Source organism: Homo sapiens, chromosome 1 (genome assembly GCF_000001405.40).
Source record: "Homo sapiens chromosome 1, GRCh38.p14 Primary Assembly".
NCBI classification, from domain to species: domain Eukaryota; kingdom Metazoa; phylum Chordata; class Mammalia; order Primates; family Hominidae; genus Homo; species Homo sapiens.
Genome location: NC_000001.11, coordinates 95,666,131 through 95,683,872, shown reverse-complemented (window position 1 = coordinate 95,683,872; position 17,742 = coordinate 95,666,131). Strand labels below are relative to the sequence as shown.

Below are 17,742 nucleotides of genomic sequence, written 5' to 3'. Positions count from 1 at the left end.
TGTGATTACTGGGATAAAGTGCTAATCTGTACCACAGAACCTGCTGCATATATCCCTAACATTTACTCTAAAACGCTCTCAGCTTTTAAATCCACCCTCCAAAATTAGTAGGGGGTTAAAGTAGAACCCATTGGGAGGTTACATTTATTTAATATTCAGTCCTTTCTTGGATGAAATATTGCAGTCTATCCTCATAGGTATTTGTCAAACCATTAGAGTAATGGTTTATGGCTATTAAATGAAATTGCAGTTCTGTTTGTAAGTTCCATTTACACAGGATAAGCAAAGTGCCTTCATTTAGATTTAAAATACCTGGAATCTTAGCAGCAGCACATGAAGATTATGTAGACTGTTAACTAATTCATAACCATGGTGTGAACACATCACAGACCAACCTGCTCTAGTTGCCCGTGACACACAAAACCCCACTGGGTACCCAGAATTACGCTGCCACACTCTGAGCTATTCATTTCATAAGGGTTGGGCAACCTGGCACTAGTCATTTTTTTTTTAACAGCTTACACTTTTTGGTTTTTTAGAATCAAATGAAAAGGTACTTTTAATCATTGTTTCCAGCACAGGAATATTTGATATAATTCCCTCTGATAATAAATGGAGAATCATACCTAGATTTAAAACAAAGCTTTCCTTGGAAACCTTCTCTGTGCCTTTTCCCCCATGCGTTTCACTTTATAGGCAATTTGTACAGACACTGCTGAGTACAAAGGAACTGAGATAAATGAAGTCTTTAGAACTTCACCTTTCTCACTAGGTGATGAGTTTGGCTGCTTTCAATAGAAAAGACACTCTTATAGTCAAATGATTAATTACCAAAACTCACATTTTTGGTCACAAGGGATACTCCAGATCCCGCCTCTTCCTCCAGAGTGAGTTAACACTATGTTAATGGTCCTCCCAGTTTACAGTGTCAGTTCCCAGTGGATTCTTACTGGAGTGCCCCCTCCTACTCACTATTCCAGGCTCATGTATGCACATGCACATGTTTATACTATTTTCCTTAAAGGCTCTGTGTTTTAATGTAGCATAAGGTGCCTTGGTCAGGGAACGCTGCCCAGTTGCACCCTTGTAACAATAAGACAAATGTGTCTCCTCCAAGGGTACCTGCTTCATAGATGCACAACTTAGCAACTGGAGCAGCAGTTGGATTTCAGGACTCTTTCTCCCCTTGACCACAACTCTTGTGCAGGGCTCAATCTGCACAATTATTTGAGGCAACTCTACCTTATCCTACACAACAATGAAAACAAGTCTGATGGCCATTCACGTAAACCGCTCAGCTCTCATCCTGTGGGAAGCAGAGTTGACCTACAGCCCCAGCTGCCACCATTTTGGATGTTCCAGCACATTTGTGTCAAGGCCATCCTTCTCCTGGCTGCTCCTGGCAATGACTAAAAACTGCAGAGTATGAGACCTGGCCCATTCCTGTGGAAAGAAGCACCTCTCTAAAGGACAGCTTTGGTTTGAAGACTGCCCATCAGCCTAGCCAAAACTTTCTTAGAACTATGCTGCAGTCTGAGAGTTTCCCTGCCCAATCCTTCATCCCCAACTCCTTTCTCAGGGATCAGATCAACATTGAGGTCTCCCCTTAGTCTTTCACAGACATATCCCTCAATTACTTTTTGCATGTCTGATTCTGTCTTGGTGCCTGCTTCTTAAAAGACGCAATACAACAACTACAATTCTGGAGTGTTTCCATGTACCAAACGCCAAACTAAATGCTTTACCCCTGATTTCCCCTATGACCCTCACAACAACCCTATGAAGGGAATTTCCTTTGCACTCTCTTCATTTTGTAGCTAATGCAGGGGAGGTTTAGAGGGTCACCAGCATTCACACCATCACACAAGTTGCAAGAAGCACAGCTTGGATTTGATCACAGGTCTTTTCAAGCCATTGTTCTGAATTACTCTGCTATACTAGCATGCTATATTTTTTCCTTGATGGGACTGAGAGAAAGACTCATTTCAAAGGTGGACATTTTTTCTCACAAAATGTGACAAAAATGAATACTCCCTTTGCCTTGAGAAAATCACCTAAGTAGTCCATTTACTAACCCAAATATAATGTAATAGGTACTTGTAATTCTAGAAGAAAACCTCATAACAACTCGAATTCACATGCTTTAAGACTGAGAATCTAAGTGGTTTATGTATTAATAATTATTGTTTGAGAAGTTGTTGATCTGGAGCAGAAAACTCTAAATCTTTAGAGATGGTCTATCTCCAGAATCTACCAGGGGACACTGGCATTCTAACACTCACAGCTGCTGGGAAGGGCAAGAAGGTTGCCCAATTCCCATGCTTCAGACATCTCACTGAGTCTGGTTTCTACCCAATCACAAAGAATGCAAAATTACAGAAAAACACTGGATCAACATCTGAATGAAGATTCTCACGAGTTCTAGAAAAGTCTGGGATAGTTGTCGCCTTGGAGGGAAATAAACTACTAGATTTCTGGACTTCTTAGATTATGGCAGAACTGTGGCAAATTTTTCTTTTTTCTGGAAATAGACCAAGACACATGAGATCCAGCCCAAGCTGTGTGGTAAATATCCCTGTTACAGTAATAGGAATCAGCATGTATTAAAAGCTTTATTATACACCAAACACTGGATTAAGTGTTTTGCTTATATTACACATGGAGTATAGTATTTAATCCTTTCAAGAGTCCTATAAGGTTAGCGCTTTTCTTATTATCCCAGTGTCAAAATTTATGAAACTGAGGCTTAGAAATTTGAAACTATTTACTGAAGATCATACAACCAGGAGTGGGTAAAAACAGGACTCAAAACCAGACCTTTCTGGTGTCAGGGCTCCAGCTTATTCACTAGAAAATACCTCAGCTGGAATTCAGATGGACAGAGATTCACCTCTGCTTAAGCAATATGTTTCAGAAATTGTATACTCAACACTATTCACAACAGTAAAGCCATGGAATCAGTCTAAGTGCCCATAAACGTGGATTGGATAAAGAAAATGTATTACGTCTATGCCATGAAATGCTATGCAGCCATAAAAACCATGAAATCATGTCCTTTGCAGCAACATGGATGCACTAGAGGCCATTATCCTAAGTGAATTAATGCAGAGACAGAAAATCAAATACCATGTTCTCGCTTGTAAGTAGGAGCTAAAACAATGGGTACACATGGACATAAAGATGGAAACAATAGACCCTGGGGACTCCGAAAGGGGAGAGGGAGGAAGGGGTGTAAGGATTGAAAAACTACCTATCGGGTACTAGGTTCACGATTTTGGTGGTGGGTTCAATAGGAAGCCCAAATCCCAGCATTATGCAGTATATTCATGTAACAAGCCTGTATGTGTACCCCCTGACTCTAAAATAATGAAGATTTTTTTCTTTCTCAAGGAAGCCAAGTGGGTGTTTTAATAACATCATCCAAAACGAGAAAGGAATCATATGGAACAGAGTTGTGTACTGTGCCAAGCAATATCCCCAGTATTAAAAAATGCAAATAACATTTTAAAATACTGAAGTTGTAATATAGCATCACAAAATGAGGTTCTGCTGATCATCCATGGTCCTCAAACTTTAGCATGTATCAGAATCATCTGGTGGGCCTATTAAAGCGCAGGATGGTGGCTCTCAGCCCCAGGTTTTCTTATGCAATAAATCTGAGAATTTGCATTTATAATAAATACCCAGGTCACACAGATGCAGATGGCCCAGAGACTCATTTAAAAACCACAGATATAGATAGAGATCTTCATACCTAAGTTTTAATGTTAGAAAAATGACAAATAGCTCAACTCCCTGAACGAATGAGAATGATAAAGCACAAAATTCAGAGCGGTGACAGTAGGACATGGCAGGACTGAGATTCTCAGTCCCTAGCTTATCATGCCCTCGACTCTAAGAAAACTGCCCCTGACCAGAAAGAAATCTGGACTAGTCCCCAGCAATGTAGCAAACCAGCCCCAAGGAAGGGTAGGTGGGATTTGTCTCTGTAATAATGTTTCTTTGAACAAGTATAACATTGAGATAATCAGAAAGGTGCTCCCATGAGGAACTTGTATTTTTTTCCTTTTCCTTGAGGAAATTCCGGCCAGATCCCATGGATTTTCTGGACACTCTTTAAGAGTGTTTATTAAGACTCTCTCTGGACATTTTAGTTGCTAGGAGGTCTTGCTTTAATAGAGGGGTTAACAGGTAACATATACTGATTTCAGGCTTGGTACTGCATTTAGACTTCAAGCATCTCCCCATGTCCCTGGCTCAGGTTGGCTTCAGGTTGGAAGCATACAGTGGAAGAAGTGGAAGCAGGTGACTGCTCCATTTCCCTGCCTAGAAATTCGATTTCTCTAACTCCACTTGGTGGATAGCCAGTGGCACACCTAGTGTTGGGAGAGATGTGGTGCAGGAAATCTTGTGGACACCGGTGTCATCTGGTGTTGATTTCCTCAGGCCCTGGCAGATGTCGGGAGCTCTGTCTCCTGCAAGTGCCCATGGAGCGTGTAGTAGGGGCAGCATCTCTCCTTGGGCTTGCTTCTCATGGCTCTCTCACAGCTGCTGCATCTGAACAGAACACTGCAGCCCGTGTTGGCTGAGGTCCCTTCAGTCTTTGCAGGAAACCCTCCTGGGCAGGGGTCTATTTTTAAATAGCCCTACATAGACATTTCTACTACAGATACCTTACCTGTTCACTGGGAAACAAGAACCCCTGACCTGTTGTCAGGGGAAGGTGGTCTCCTCTCAAATGTCCCTTTGCTGCCACAGGCCATTTTTAACTCTGCTCTGCTGAAATTTCTTTTTCTCAGGTTTGAATCAGATTTACCAGGTTCCCAGATTCCAGGAACCATTTACATGGCTGTCTAAGTAGTGTCTTTGAATCCTTTGTATTTTTTTGTTCTGGGCTTTCAAAAAGGAGTATTTAAACATCATGTTACACAGCCACAAAAATTTAACCTATCTCATAGGCTACCACAAATGCCCTACCTTTGCTAAACTGATCATGACTTGTGAGTCATGGTCAATAATGCGATTCTGAAGTACCTCACTAAGATGACAAGAATGGAAGCTGTGACATCTACATTGCAGCAGATAGAACCTTCAAGACAAAGGGACAAAATGGCATTCCAGAGTTTACCCCAGAAGGACTGGTGGCATTCTAAAATACCAAACAAGTGTAGAAAATACTCTTCCAGTTATTAACGCAATTTTATTTTTTGTCAGTGGCTAAGGAATGACCTTTATAATAATACAGTTTCCATGGGTTTTAAAGGGATCAGAGATATGAAGTAGAGAATAGATAACATAACTTGTCATTGACTAAATGCATATGTTTACCCCTCTCCCCTTGCAAAATTCCAATAAAGTCCAGAATAAATATGAAAATAAATTCAAAAGAGCACTAGAAAGCTAAGGAAGATGGGAGTAGAGGGAGGGAAAGTGCCAGAAAAACAGAATAGTGAGGAATTTGTCAAAAACATAAGAAATAAACTGAGTGGGAACAAACTAACAACAAAAGCCACACACACAAGAGAGAGGGTGACAGAGAGTCTGCGAGCAAACTGTGTGGACATTCCAAAAGGTGAATGTAGAAGAAGGATAATTGTATCCTGTGGATGCAATGAAAGGATGGAACTGTCCTGACCATACCCCCACCTGCTTTCAGAGGGCAGGTCCCATTCAGCTTTCTAAAGTGAGACTTCTGACACCAAAGATTGTCAAAGAAGTTTCTGTGGCTGCAAACCAGTGTCCCAGTTATAGAAACCATGAAAAAGGAAGAGGATCCCTGCACCCAGAAGAAAAATTCTCATTATACCCCACAGGAAATCTCACCCAGCCGCATATCAGCTCTCTTTCTAAACAAATGGTGGATTAAAGAGGAAATAAAAACTAAAAATATAGACAATTCAGAAAGCACTAACTATAACAACACTACATAGCACCTTCTATGAAATACTTACATGTTTTACCTTACAATTGACAAATGGAATTTCTCCCGAGTTTATACTGGAGCTCATTTTATGTTTCCTTGACATACAAATGACTTAGGTCCTAATTTCAACTCTTAAGATCAGATACCTCCATACATTATGGGGCTTCAAGTCCCACTCACCACTGGGAGGGTCCCATTTTATCCCTAACACTAAGGATTTCATTTATTGTTATTGAGCTCAGAAAGGTGTTTTTTTTCTTAATGCTCATTTATTTAGCTTGAATTGGAAACTTTCTTTATAGATCAGCTCATTCCACCCTCTTGTAGAGAATCTCTGAATTAATTTCTATTCAAAAATGTGCCTAAATGTGTTTTGCTTATTCACTTCCCCATGCTTCATTTCTCACTGCAGTCTATCTAACTATACCATTATTTGCCATTTCACAAATCATGCTTTCATGCTTTTTTGTTATTTCTCCCGTTCTTTTCATATGAAAAATACATTTTCATCTTTTGCAACACTGTTCAAGCATCGCCTTTCCTGCAACACCTTCTGGAGATCCCTCATCTGCCCTTGTTCATCACAACTGCATGATAGCACTCCTCTTTTTTGTATTGTAATTACACCTTTGTGCCTGTGTCCTTTTGATGCTATGAGTTCCTTTGGGGGACTGATGGAATCAAAATCATTTTTTGTCGAAACAATAGCACCCAGCATGGTACAGAAGTTGGGAGCCATGAACCTGTGTGGAATGGATGAATGACTTCCCAGGCAGAGGGGTAAGTAGCTATGCAGAGGAAAGGCATGCCCTGTCCACTTGACAGGAGTAAAAATTACGAGCAAGGAATGAAAATTGGTTGGAAAAAAAAGATGCCTAGGGTCAAATCTACAGTGTATTGAGAAGTCACTTCAATATTTTAGTCAAAGTAGAAGTTTGGTAATATGATTTCTTGTAGAAACATTTAAAAATTAATTGGAAGGAAGAAAAGGCTGAAGGTTAAAGGGGTCAGTGAGGAGTAAATGGCATAATTCAAAGTTCCCGAGAAAGGTGTGTAGGAAATTCCTTAGGATGGTTAATAAACTCTAATAATCCTCCCAACCTCCTCCCACAAGCTCCACAGGATACAATTACCCTTCTGCCAGTTCTACCTGGAATCTTTGAAATATCCACACAGTTTGCCCAGGAGCTGTCAGGTTTTGAAGTGCAGCAATGGCTTATAAAAGAGTCCGAGAACAGATACCAAGTGTGAACAACCTCCTCATTTTCAAGGCATACCTGCCTTCCCCACGATTTGTCCCAGGCTGCTCTTGACTCATCATCTTGAATGACATTTATTGGGAACTCCCAATAAATACAGGTGTTTCCCTCCATCAATATAAAAATATTGCATTACTTTTCTAGAAAGATAATTACCTACCTGCTTCTCAAAATGTAGCAATTAGCTCATTGTTCTCTACCTAATTTCTAGATGTTGACATTTGAAAAACACCTCTGGCTAACACGGTTATTAAAAAGCTTCTAGGTGTCAATAAAGGTCTGTTGAATAAATGATTCATTAATATATTTTAATGGTGTTAGATTATCTTAAATTCTATTTTAAACTATTCTGAATTACACACCCTTTTAATCCCTTGATATAATTTATATATAATAAATATCCAACAGCTAAGAAATAGTTGCTTTCTGCTATAAACAACCAGTTCATAATCAATGAATATGAAATCTACTTTTTTTAATACTCAAAAATTATTTATCTTACTTCATATTCATGTGAATTAGCAAGATCAGAAGTATCATATATACAGGCTCCGAATGAATAAAAATAGATTATAAAAGCATACATATTAAATGATTCCATGAGCAAAATTATTCAACCATTTTTATCACCACCCTAAGTTGTAAATAATAAGCATTAACCTATGAAATTATCCTGCATTAAAACCTTGCATATTCAGACTCTGAGAAACAGAATTTCTGGTTCATTGACTATTCTGATTAATAAAAAATAACCACACTCACATTATAACCAGATCACCAATTACCAAAGAAAGAGAATAAAGTACACTTATGCTCAGCTGAAAATAAGTTTATCTGTAAATTCAGATGTTGCACTAGGATGTTCTGGCACCTCAAGTTCATCAATATGAAGTTCAGTCATCAAAGGACTATGTTAAAGAAAAACATTATTGTCTTAGTATATCACGGTGAATGATATTTTATTAAAGAAATATTCATCACTCTAAGTAAGACATTTCCCCACATTTAATCTGTCCAACAACCTAAACTTCGGAAAATAGATGTATATTTGAGAACTTAAAGGAAAACTAATTCGATTTAAAGGTTTGGGTATTTTTTAAAAAACATAAAAGTTTAAAATGGTGCTGCATGTTCAGCAGACACAAAGCAGTTTCAGAAGATGTTACAAGTCTCTAATAACCTACACAATAAAGTGATTTAACACGTGCACTCAGCAGACTTTCCAGGATCACCATGTCACTAAAGTCAGCTTTACTTGGGCCTAGTGTTTCTAATCTTATTTTCTTGGTATTTTCTGCATGATGCTGTCTTTCTGCTTCCCTGATTGGCTTTTATCTTCTTGACTCTTCTACTAGGTAGTAAACAAATTCCTGCTGAGTGGTAAACAAAACTGGAGGCAAGGCAGGACCTCTGGGAGTTGCAGCTGACACAGTTATAAAAAGAAGTCTAAACTCTTAAAGAGATGAGAAACCTTTAAAGGAAGTAGAGAGCAAAGCACTGAAGTTTTTCTTCAGTTTCACCATTTGTACTAAAGATGGCTGAAAAGAAGTCAATAAGAGAGAAAGATAGCTACTGGCAATGGAACAAGCAATGATCTTCAGAATTTTTTTTCTTTGAAAGAAACAACAAAGCCCTAAGTCAAATATTATTTCACTGGCAACCACCACAGTTTCTGGAATTATAATAATAGTTTCTCATATTTCTAGGATGCTTTGAAGTTTACAAGGCTATTTTGCATATATTATCTTATTTGGCACCTACAACCTGCCCCAAAATGCTTTTGCAGGCCTCTCCCTGACTCTCCCCATACCCAGCTTAGGGTCCTCTAACCAGGCCCTGCACACTACCATCTTCAGGCATTCACTGTGCTCCTTTTGTTTATGCAATTCAAATTTCCTCCCCAGTTGGCCCATCTCAATCTTATTTGGCATTTGAGAACAAGGTCAAAATACTACTTTCTCTGAAAAGCCCTTCCTGGTGATCCAGCTCAAAGAATCTTACCTTCCTTTGTACACTATGACAATCAATGTCCATGGTATCACATTAAAAAATTATGTTCTGTGTCTCATAAGATCTGTTCTATTATTATAGCATTAAAACCTCCTATTATTTTAATTTTTCCTACCAGGTGTTGCCTTCTTAACCGAACTATAAATCTCATGGAATTGGGTATGAGAACATGAGCAATTCATTTTGAACAAACTGGGCCTGATGGATTATGATTGGCCAACTGTGGTTAGGTCCTGGGACCCATAAGGGAGCAGCCAAGAGGTCACCTCACAATAGAAGCCCCAACACCAGGGGAGAAGGAAATGGAGCTGACTCATGGACAATTGATGTCTATGGGGAGCAGGAATCAAAATGAAGATTTCGTGTGTTCCTCTGTCACACTTGTTATTCTACTTAATTATAAGCCTCTTAAAGGTAGAGACCCTGTCTTATTAACAGAATTTTCTTCAATGAATTAAACCAGAAATAGAAAACTAAGGAGGGAGGTCAACCAATAATGAAGGAATCAGAGGAGACAGTAGATCATACCAACAGTGAATGCTAGGAAGACAAGACTAAGTGAACAAGAGAGAGAAATACTCAAAATTCTGTGGCAGGACTGCTGATACATTCTTAGACCCAGTCTCCAAACAGATGGCTTCAGACCCAAGTGGGAAGAACTCAGGGATCTACTAGTACTTTAAATGACAAAGGTTTAGGGTAGGCAGGGATTTAAAGCTTCAATCTCCGGGATTGCTTGTCAGAGTTGTAAAGGTCATGGAACAGTATGTGCCAAGAAGCAGAATCTGTGTCATCTATTAATTGAAATTCACAGCAGAGTGGACTCCATACAGCAAGGGCTCCACAAATATGTGCTCAGTTGCGTTATTGTGACATATACATAATTGTGTGGGTGTGTGTGTGTGTGTGTGTGTGTGTGTGTGTTGCCTCTTGTAGGTTTTTCTATTTATTCTGAAGTTCAGAGGCAGGAAAAGCTTTTGTCAGTGTGGGGAGAGTCTAATCTGGAAAACAGATACTATTCACCATATTCGGCCTTCCCTGTATAACAAGTCCTGGAAAAGTCTACCATTTTTGGTTCCACTTTCTCTAACTCACATGTCAGGATTCTAACATTCAGTTCAACACACAGTTGTTGTCTCTAATGAATCTGGAGTCAGGAATAAACTCTGATGGTTATTAAAATATTGAAGCAAATATACTTGTATAAACTAATATGCCGGTTTCTGTCAGCAGACCCATGGAGGAGTTGGCCTTAGCAACATTTTTTGGTAACAAAAAAATTTAATTGCAGAAACTGATTTTTAAAAGTAGTTATACTACAATGTCCAACTCCCAAAGTTACTCTCATCTTCAGCATCATTTAATAAAATTCTGTTCAAGTGAGACTTAGGCTTTAGGCTTTAGACATTCTTTACAGTATTGTCTTATTTAACATTACCTGTAAATTACTCCAACACTTCGCAGCCTAAAATAGCTGTATAGATTTATTATCTTTTAAAGTTTCTGTTGGTCAAGAATCAGATCATGGCTTAGCTCAATAGTCCATTTCAGGGTCTTTCATGAGGTTACAGTCATAATGTTAGCCAGGGCTGCAGTTGTTGGAAGGTTTAACCCGGGCTGGATAATCTGCTTTTAAAACGTTTTACTCTAGTGGCTGGCAAACCAGTGCTGGTTGTTGTCAAGAGGCCTCACTAGGTTAGTTCATTACCACATGGACCTTTCCATAGGAGTGAGTATCCTCATGACATGGTAAGTGATCCAAGAGATCAAGGCAGAAGTGGCAATGCCTTACAGGATTGAACCTCACTTCTGTCACATATTATCTATCACAAAGACCAACTCCAATACATTATGGACAAGGACTACATAAGGACATCAACATCAGAAGGTGAAGATCCCCGGGGCCCACCTTAGAGTCTGGCCACCACAAGTGTGCTATCAAATGATAACCCAAACAACATCACACTTTTGCATGTCATAATTTTCAAAAACATTGAATAAAAAACAGTAGCAGATACACCCATAAATAATCACTATAGTACTATTATTCTCAAAGATTCAGGAGTAAAGCATTTAAAACAAGTAATTTTTAAGTCATATAATTCCTTTTAAAATTATTTGGGGAGAACAAATGGAGGCGGGCAAAGAGATTTTCACCATGAAATGTAATGGGAAAATGCCAGCCTCTTTTACTTTACCATGGAAGCACCAAGAATTTCAGAGACCATAATGATAATGGTTAAAACCAACACCAGTCCATCACAAAGTGACCTTTGTCAAAGCAAAACAGTATCCCATGCTTCATGAGTCTTCATTTGTAGAAATGAAATCTTCCTTTTCTTCCTTTTAAAAATAGAAATTTGAGATACTATAACATCAAATCCATACCCAGTAAGAATAAAAGGTAATTACTTTAAATTGAGTAAATTTTTAACAAAATACTCCTCTGTTATATGAAACACAATAAGCTGAGATGGATTGAAAAAATGTAATCTTTAGTGGGCTCAAAGCCAACCAGATTCCCAAGGGTTAAAAATATTTAGCATTAAATTGCTAGTTCACTTCTTGCCCTCTGATAACCAGGAACAAAATTGCTTTTCTGTTGCATAAAGTATCTTTCAAATTCAATTGCTTATCTCCTCATTCATTCAAGAAAGAGAGACCTCAGATTTACAGGAACCAGAGCCCATAATACAAATATAGTATATTAAACATACAGCAGACATCTTCTGAAAAATAACCAAAACACAGTCTATTGACTTTAACCTTCTATATCAAGGTATTCTTCAGTGGTCTCAAATGGATGCTGGCTATGAGAAATTCCAATTATTTGAATTTCTATATATAGGATAAGCATTTAGTTATCAACACACACCATAAAACATATTTTCATCTGTTATTAAAGCACTATTACTATGTGGAATTGAATGTATTTCTACTGTGAACTCAACTGCCAGTGAAGCGGGCAAGGCAGCATTTTTTGTAGAAGATTCCCTTTGCAGACCTGTTTTATGTGCACTGTCCTGTAGCAACCTTTGGATTTGCTTTTGGGTAAATAAAATAATACCCTGTGGAAATATTTTTGACATTCCTTCTTCTTTCCTCACTCTCTTTCACCTCCTCTTATATGCAATTACTCATTGCCTTGGTTTTCGCAAACTAATTTGATGTAAAAAATTATTTTTCTACAGTAATCACCGTGCCAATGCCTGACAGGCTTAGAGAAACACTTCTTGTGAAAGGAGATCTCTTACAGGGTACTGAGCTCTCTTAATATTAGCAAAATACCAAACAGTGGGACTGAGATGTACCTGACTTCTTATCACACTGATTCCAATTCTGATTAAAACAAGTTTGCAGACTAGGAAATGGAGCCAAATTAAATGTATTTCTAGAATGGCATGGATGTTAGTGATATCAGTGTTTGCTAGCATCTCCTAAAAAGCATCACTGCTCTTCATGGTTCACAGACTAGCAGAATTGGAGCAGGATGGAGAGAAGAGAGGGGAGAAAAACCCAGAGGGGAGAAAAGAGAAAGTTGCATCATGAAGGAAAAAGAAATCTAATTCAGTATCCTCTTTCTGCAACAACTAAGAGTTGATTTCTGAGAAAGCTTAGTGGGTTCCCACATGCTTCTATAGATAATTTGTCCAAAGTTGAGTGGCTATAAAAGAGCAAAGAAAAAAACTCAGGGCTTTTAATTAGGTTTACCTTTGTTTTAGAGTAAAACTTTATAACTCTTATGATTTATTTCAGATTATAAAAGAAGTAAAAAGACATGATAAAATTAAAAAGAATAAAATAATCCCAGAAATTATCGTTATGAATAATCTGATGCATATTTGCCTAGAGTTTCCCATTCACATATTATTTGCATGTATAAAATATTGCTATCTGTGCAAGTCTATCTTCAGTACTATACAATATTTTTAATTTATTTATTAATATTTCTTCATTAAATAACGCTTAAGATTTTTAGTTGTGAAATAGTTCTTTATAGGAATGTACCATTATTTTTTACCATTTTTTGTTTCATTTTCATTTAATGTAAACATAACTTACAACACTTTAATAAATGACTTTGCATATACATATTGGTCTGTACTTTAAATTGTTTTCTCAGAATGGATTTCTAAATTAGAAATTTTTAACAGCAATTTACTCATTTAAAAGCACTCTCCAATATAATCATTCCCTCAGCAAATAATTAAAAGAAAGAGAATGTGAAAGGTAATCAAGTTCAAGAAAGTCTGTATTCAAATTTTTAATAAAGTTCCTTAGTATACTTATATTTTTTAACTCTTTATTTTATTGAAGTGTAATTTATATACATTGAAATGCTCTGCTTTTAAGTGTTATAGTTTGATGAATTGAAAAGTGAATACACCCGTATAATCAGACCCATATCAATATATGAAATATTTCCTTCACTCTTGGGAGACCCCAGGTGCTCTTTCTCAGGTAATCTCTACCTGCAGAAGAAACTACTGAGAGGTGACAGCGTGCTGGCAGTCCTCACAGCCCTCGCTCCCTCTCGGCGCCTCCTCTGCCTGGGCTCCCACTTTGGCGGCACTTGAGGAGCCCTTCAGCCCACCGCTGCACTGTGGGAGCCCCTTTCTGGGCTGGTCAAGGCCGGAGCCCACTCCCTTAGCTTGCAGGGAGGTGTGGAGGGAGAGGCGCGAGCGGGAACCCGGGCTGCGTGTGGCGCTTGCGGGCCAGCTGGAGTTCCGGGTGGGTGTGGGCTTGGCGGGCCCCACACTCGGAGCAGCCGGCCGGCCCTGCCGGCTCCGGCAATGAGGGGCTTAGCACCCGGGCCAGCGGCTGCGGAGGATGTACTGGGTCCCCCAGCAGTGCCAGCCCGCCAGCGCTGCACTCGATTTCTCGCCAGGCCTTAGCTGCCTTCCCGTGGGGCAGGGCTCGGGACCTGCAGCCCGCCAAGCCTGAGCCTCCCACCCCCTCCGTGGGCTCCTGGGTAGCCCGAGCCTCCTCCACGAGTGCCACCCCCTGCTCCACGGCAGCCAGTCCCATCGACCACCCAAGGGCTGAGGAGTGCAGGCGCACGGCGTGGGACTGGCAGGCAGCTCCACCTGCAGCACCGGTGTGGGATCCACTGGGTGAAGCCAGCTGGGCTGCTGAGTCTGGTGGGGCCTTGGAGAACCTTTATGTCTAGCTCAGGGATTGTGAATCCACCAATCGGCACTCTGTCTCTAGCTCAGGGTTTGTAAACACACCAATCAGTACCCTGTGTCTAGCTCAAGGTTTGTGAGTGCACCAATCGATACTCTGTATCTAGCTACTCTGGTGGGGCCTTGGAGAACATTTATGTCTAGCTCAGGGTTTGTGAGGGCACCATTGGACACTCTGTGTCTAGCTACTCTGGTGGGGCCTTGGAGAACCTTTATGTCTAGGTCAGGGATTGTAAACGCACCAATCAGCACCCTGTCAAAACAGACCCCTGGGCTCTACCAATCAGCAGGACGTGGGTGGGGCCAGATAAGAGAATAAAAGCAGGCTGCCCGAGCCAGCAGTGGCAACCCGCTGTGGTCCCCTTCCACACTGTGGAAGCTTTGTTCTTTCGCTCTTTGCAAGAAATCTTGCTACTGCTCAGTCTTTGGGTCCACACTGCTTTTATGAGCTGTAACACTCACCGCAAAGATCTGCAGCTTCACTCCTGAAGCCAGCGAGACCACGAGCCCACCGGGAGGAATGAACAACTCCAGACGCGCTACCTTAAGAGCTGTAACACTCACCACGAAGGTCTGCAGCTTCATTCCTGAGCCAGCGAGACCATGAACCCACCAAAAGGAAGAAATTCTAAACACATCTGAACATCAGAAGGAACAAACTCCAGACGCGCCACCTTAAGAGCTGTAACACTCACCGTGAGGGTCCACGGCTTCACTACTATTGAGATCTTTTTCACTACACAGTTAGTTTTGCCTTTTCCAGATCTTCATACAAAATATAGTTTGACATGTCTTGCTTCTTTCCCTCAGCATAATGATTTTGAGATTCATCTATGTTACTGCATATATAGGTGTTTAATTCTTCTTTATGGTTGAATAGTATTGTATACTGAAATTGGTCTAGCCACTTTTCTGTTGATGGATATTTGAGTTGTTTCCAGCTTTTAGCTATTGTGAATAAAACTGCTATGAAATTTCAATCAAGTCTTTCTAGACATATACTTTCATTTTTCTTGGGTAAATATCTAGCAGTATAATTTCTGAGTCATAGAGGTTATGTTTAACTTTATAAGAAACTGCCAGAGTACACTCTAGGTGTTTGTACCATTTTATACCGCCCCTCCCGAGCAATGTATATGGGTTTCAGTTGCTCTAGATCCTTGCCAAGATTTATTGTTGATAGTCTTTGTAATTTTAGTCATTCTAATGGGTGTGGAGTAGTATCTAATTGTGATTTATAGTTTTACTTCCCTGACGACTAATGATGTCAATGAGTTTTATATGTGTTTATTAACCATGTTTCTTTGTGCAGTGTCTAAACTATTCAAATCTTTTCCCAAATTTTTTATTACTAAGTGGAAGAATTTTCTATATGTTCTGAATTTAAGGGTTTTATTTAATATAACTGTATGATATTTTATCACAACCTGTAGCTTGCCTAATTATTTTCTTACTGTTGTCTTTTAATAAGTAAAAGTTTTTTAATTTTGAGAAAGTATAATTTCTCTTTCTTAAAAATTACTATTGCTGTTTATCCTATTTAAGAAATCTTTGCTTATTGTTATGGTTTGAATGTTTTCATCTCCGCCAAAATTCATAAGAAAATTCAGTCCCCCATGCAACAGTATTGGGTGTTGAGCCCTTTGGGAGGTGAGTAAATTATGAGGGCTTCACTGTTATGAATGGGATTACGCACCTTCCCACAAATGGCTGTAGAGAGAATTTGTCCCTTTTCTTGGCCTTCTACCTTCTGCCAAGTGAGGATGCACCAAAAAGGCCCTGACCAGACAGCAGATGTCAATGACTTCATCTGGGGCTTCCCAGCCTCCAAAACTGTGAGAAATAAAATTCCGTTCTTTATAAGTTACTCAGTCTCAGGTATTCCATTATAGCAGCACAACATAGACTAAGATGCCTGCCCTAAGTTACTGCCCTATATTATCTTCTAAAAGCTTAACAGTTTTAGATTTTTATATTAAAGTCTAAGGTTCATATTGAACTAATTTTTGTGTACGGCATGAGACAGGGTTTAGGTACATGGTTATACACCTGGATTTCCAGTTGTTTGAGAGCCACTTGTTTTAAGGATCTTTTCCCACTGAATCACTTTGGCACCTCTGTTTAGAAACAACCAACTATAAGTCTATTTCTGAAATCTCCATTTTGTTCCATTGACTAAATCAGGAAAAATTTAAAGCAACAGCTACCTGATTCCATGGTCTACAATGACTATTTTACCGCTATCTTTTGAATTCCTGAAATGCTGTACCAGCCTTCCACAGGTATCCCATCACTGCTCACCACCAATTCTACTAACAACACCATAATAACAAGCCAGGAAGCGATCAGCACTCCACTTAATACTTATGATGGAGTCCTTGTTGCCAGCTGGACGGTGCATGATCCAGCTACAAATCCCATTTTAGAGTCCACTTCCTAAGACCATTCCTAGCAACACCTGGACACAAAAAGTGAGGTAGAGATTACACACAGGGCATCTACTGGGAAATGCTTTTGGGGAGAAGGCTGTAAGGGAGTAAGAGAAGCAGAAATGGACAGAAGAAGTTGAACTGTGATGCAGTTGTAACAGAAGCCTCAGGCGATTCCAACCTTATAAGGGGTCTGAAGCTGGAAATCCCCTTCAGACTTATACCAGATTGAGGCAAGTGGGGTAAAGCTTTAAACCTCCACATCAACCAGCCATTTGTTGTGGACCATCCTTGGGGAGGATACACAACCTTAGGTGTAACAGCTCCCTTCTCTTAAGGCAATAACCTTGTCCAAATAAGAACACTGGCTTCCATTACATACAAAATTAAGGAAAATGTAGTTAAAACTTATTACCAGATTTTCAATATATGTGTTGATATCTGCCATGGTCCCCCTGTCAGACTAGCAGGCAAGGTGGACAAAAGGGGAAAAGATGAGTTAAGCCACTTTTCTGAGATTGGTACTCCCCAAAACAAGTCCTGAGAAAGGGACTTGAAGCTTACTTGGGATATCATTCAAGAAAGTATAAGCGGGGGAGTGAGTAAAGTAAGACAAAAAAATGGATAAAAACCAGTAAAGGGTATTATGGAATAGTAAGAAATATATAAAGTGGCCTCTGCCCCAGGTCCCGACATACAGCTTCTAAAACCCTTGTAAATAGGGGTGCGAGAAGTATCTTTTTTTCCAATATTTGGTCTTTGACTCTGGCTCCCTATACAGAGCTTCTAAGACCACTGAACTTTCCTGAGTGATAGGAGCATCTGATACAGAGCTCCTAAATCCCTTGGAATTTCCTGGATGATAGGAGCATCTTTTGCTCTAATGAGTTGACTCTTGATGGATTCCTGGATAGGCGCCGGTCACCAGAAAGACC

General features: G+C 39.6%; 1 long non-coding RNA gene across 2 annotated transcripts in view, besides 2 other annotated features; it reads right to left on the bottom strand.

Annotated features, from left to right (window-relative positions):
- LOC101928219 (uncharacterized) overlaps positions 1 to 17,742 on the bottom strand; it is a 182,425-nt gene that overhangs the window by 123,985 nt on the left and 40,698 nt on the right. The gene's annotated exons all lie outside the window — the stretch shown is intronic.
- Positions 13,505 to 14,004: an enhancer, noted in NCBI's record as "H3K27ac-H3K4me1 hESC enhancer chr1:96135425-96135924 (GRCh37/hg19 assembly coordinates)". NCBI's record gives its function as "activates a minimal SCP1, AML or CMV promoter by ChIP-STARR-seq in primed H9 embryonic stem cells {active_cell/tissue: H9 hESC(primed)}" and the evidence as "EXISTENCE:reporter gene assay evidence [ECO:0000049][PMID:30033119]".
- Positions 14,005 to 14,506: an enhancer, noted in NCBI's record as "H3K27ac-H3K4me1 hESC enhancer chr1:96134923-96135424 (GRCh37/hg19 assembly coordinates)". NCBI's record gives its function as "activates a minimal SCP1, AML or CMV promoter by ChIP-STARR-seq in primed H9 embryonic stem cells {active_cell/tissue: H9 hESC(primed)}" and the evidence as "EXISTENCE:reporter gene assay evidence [ECO:0000049][PMID:30033119]".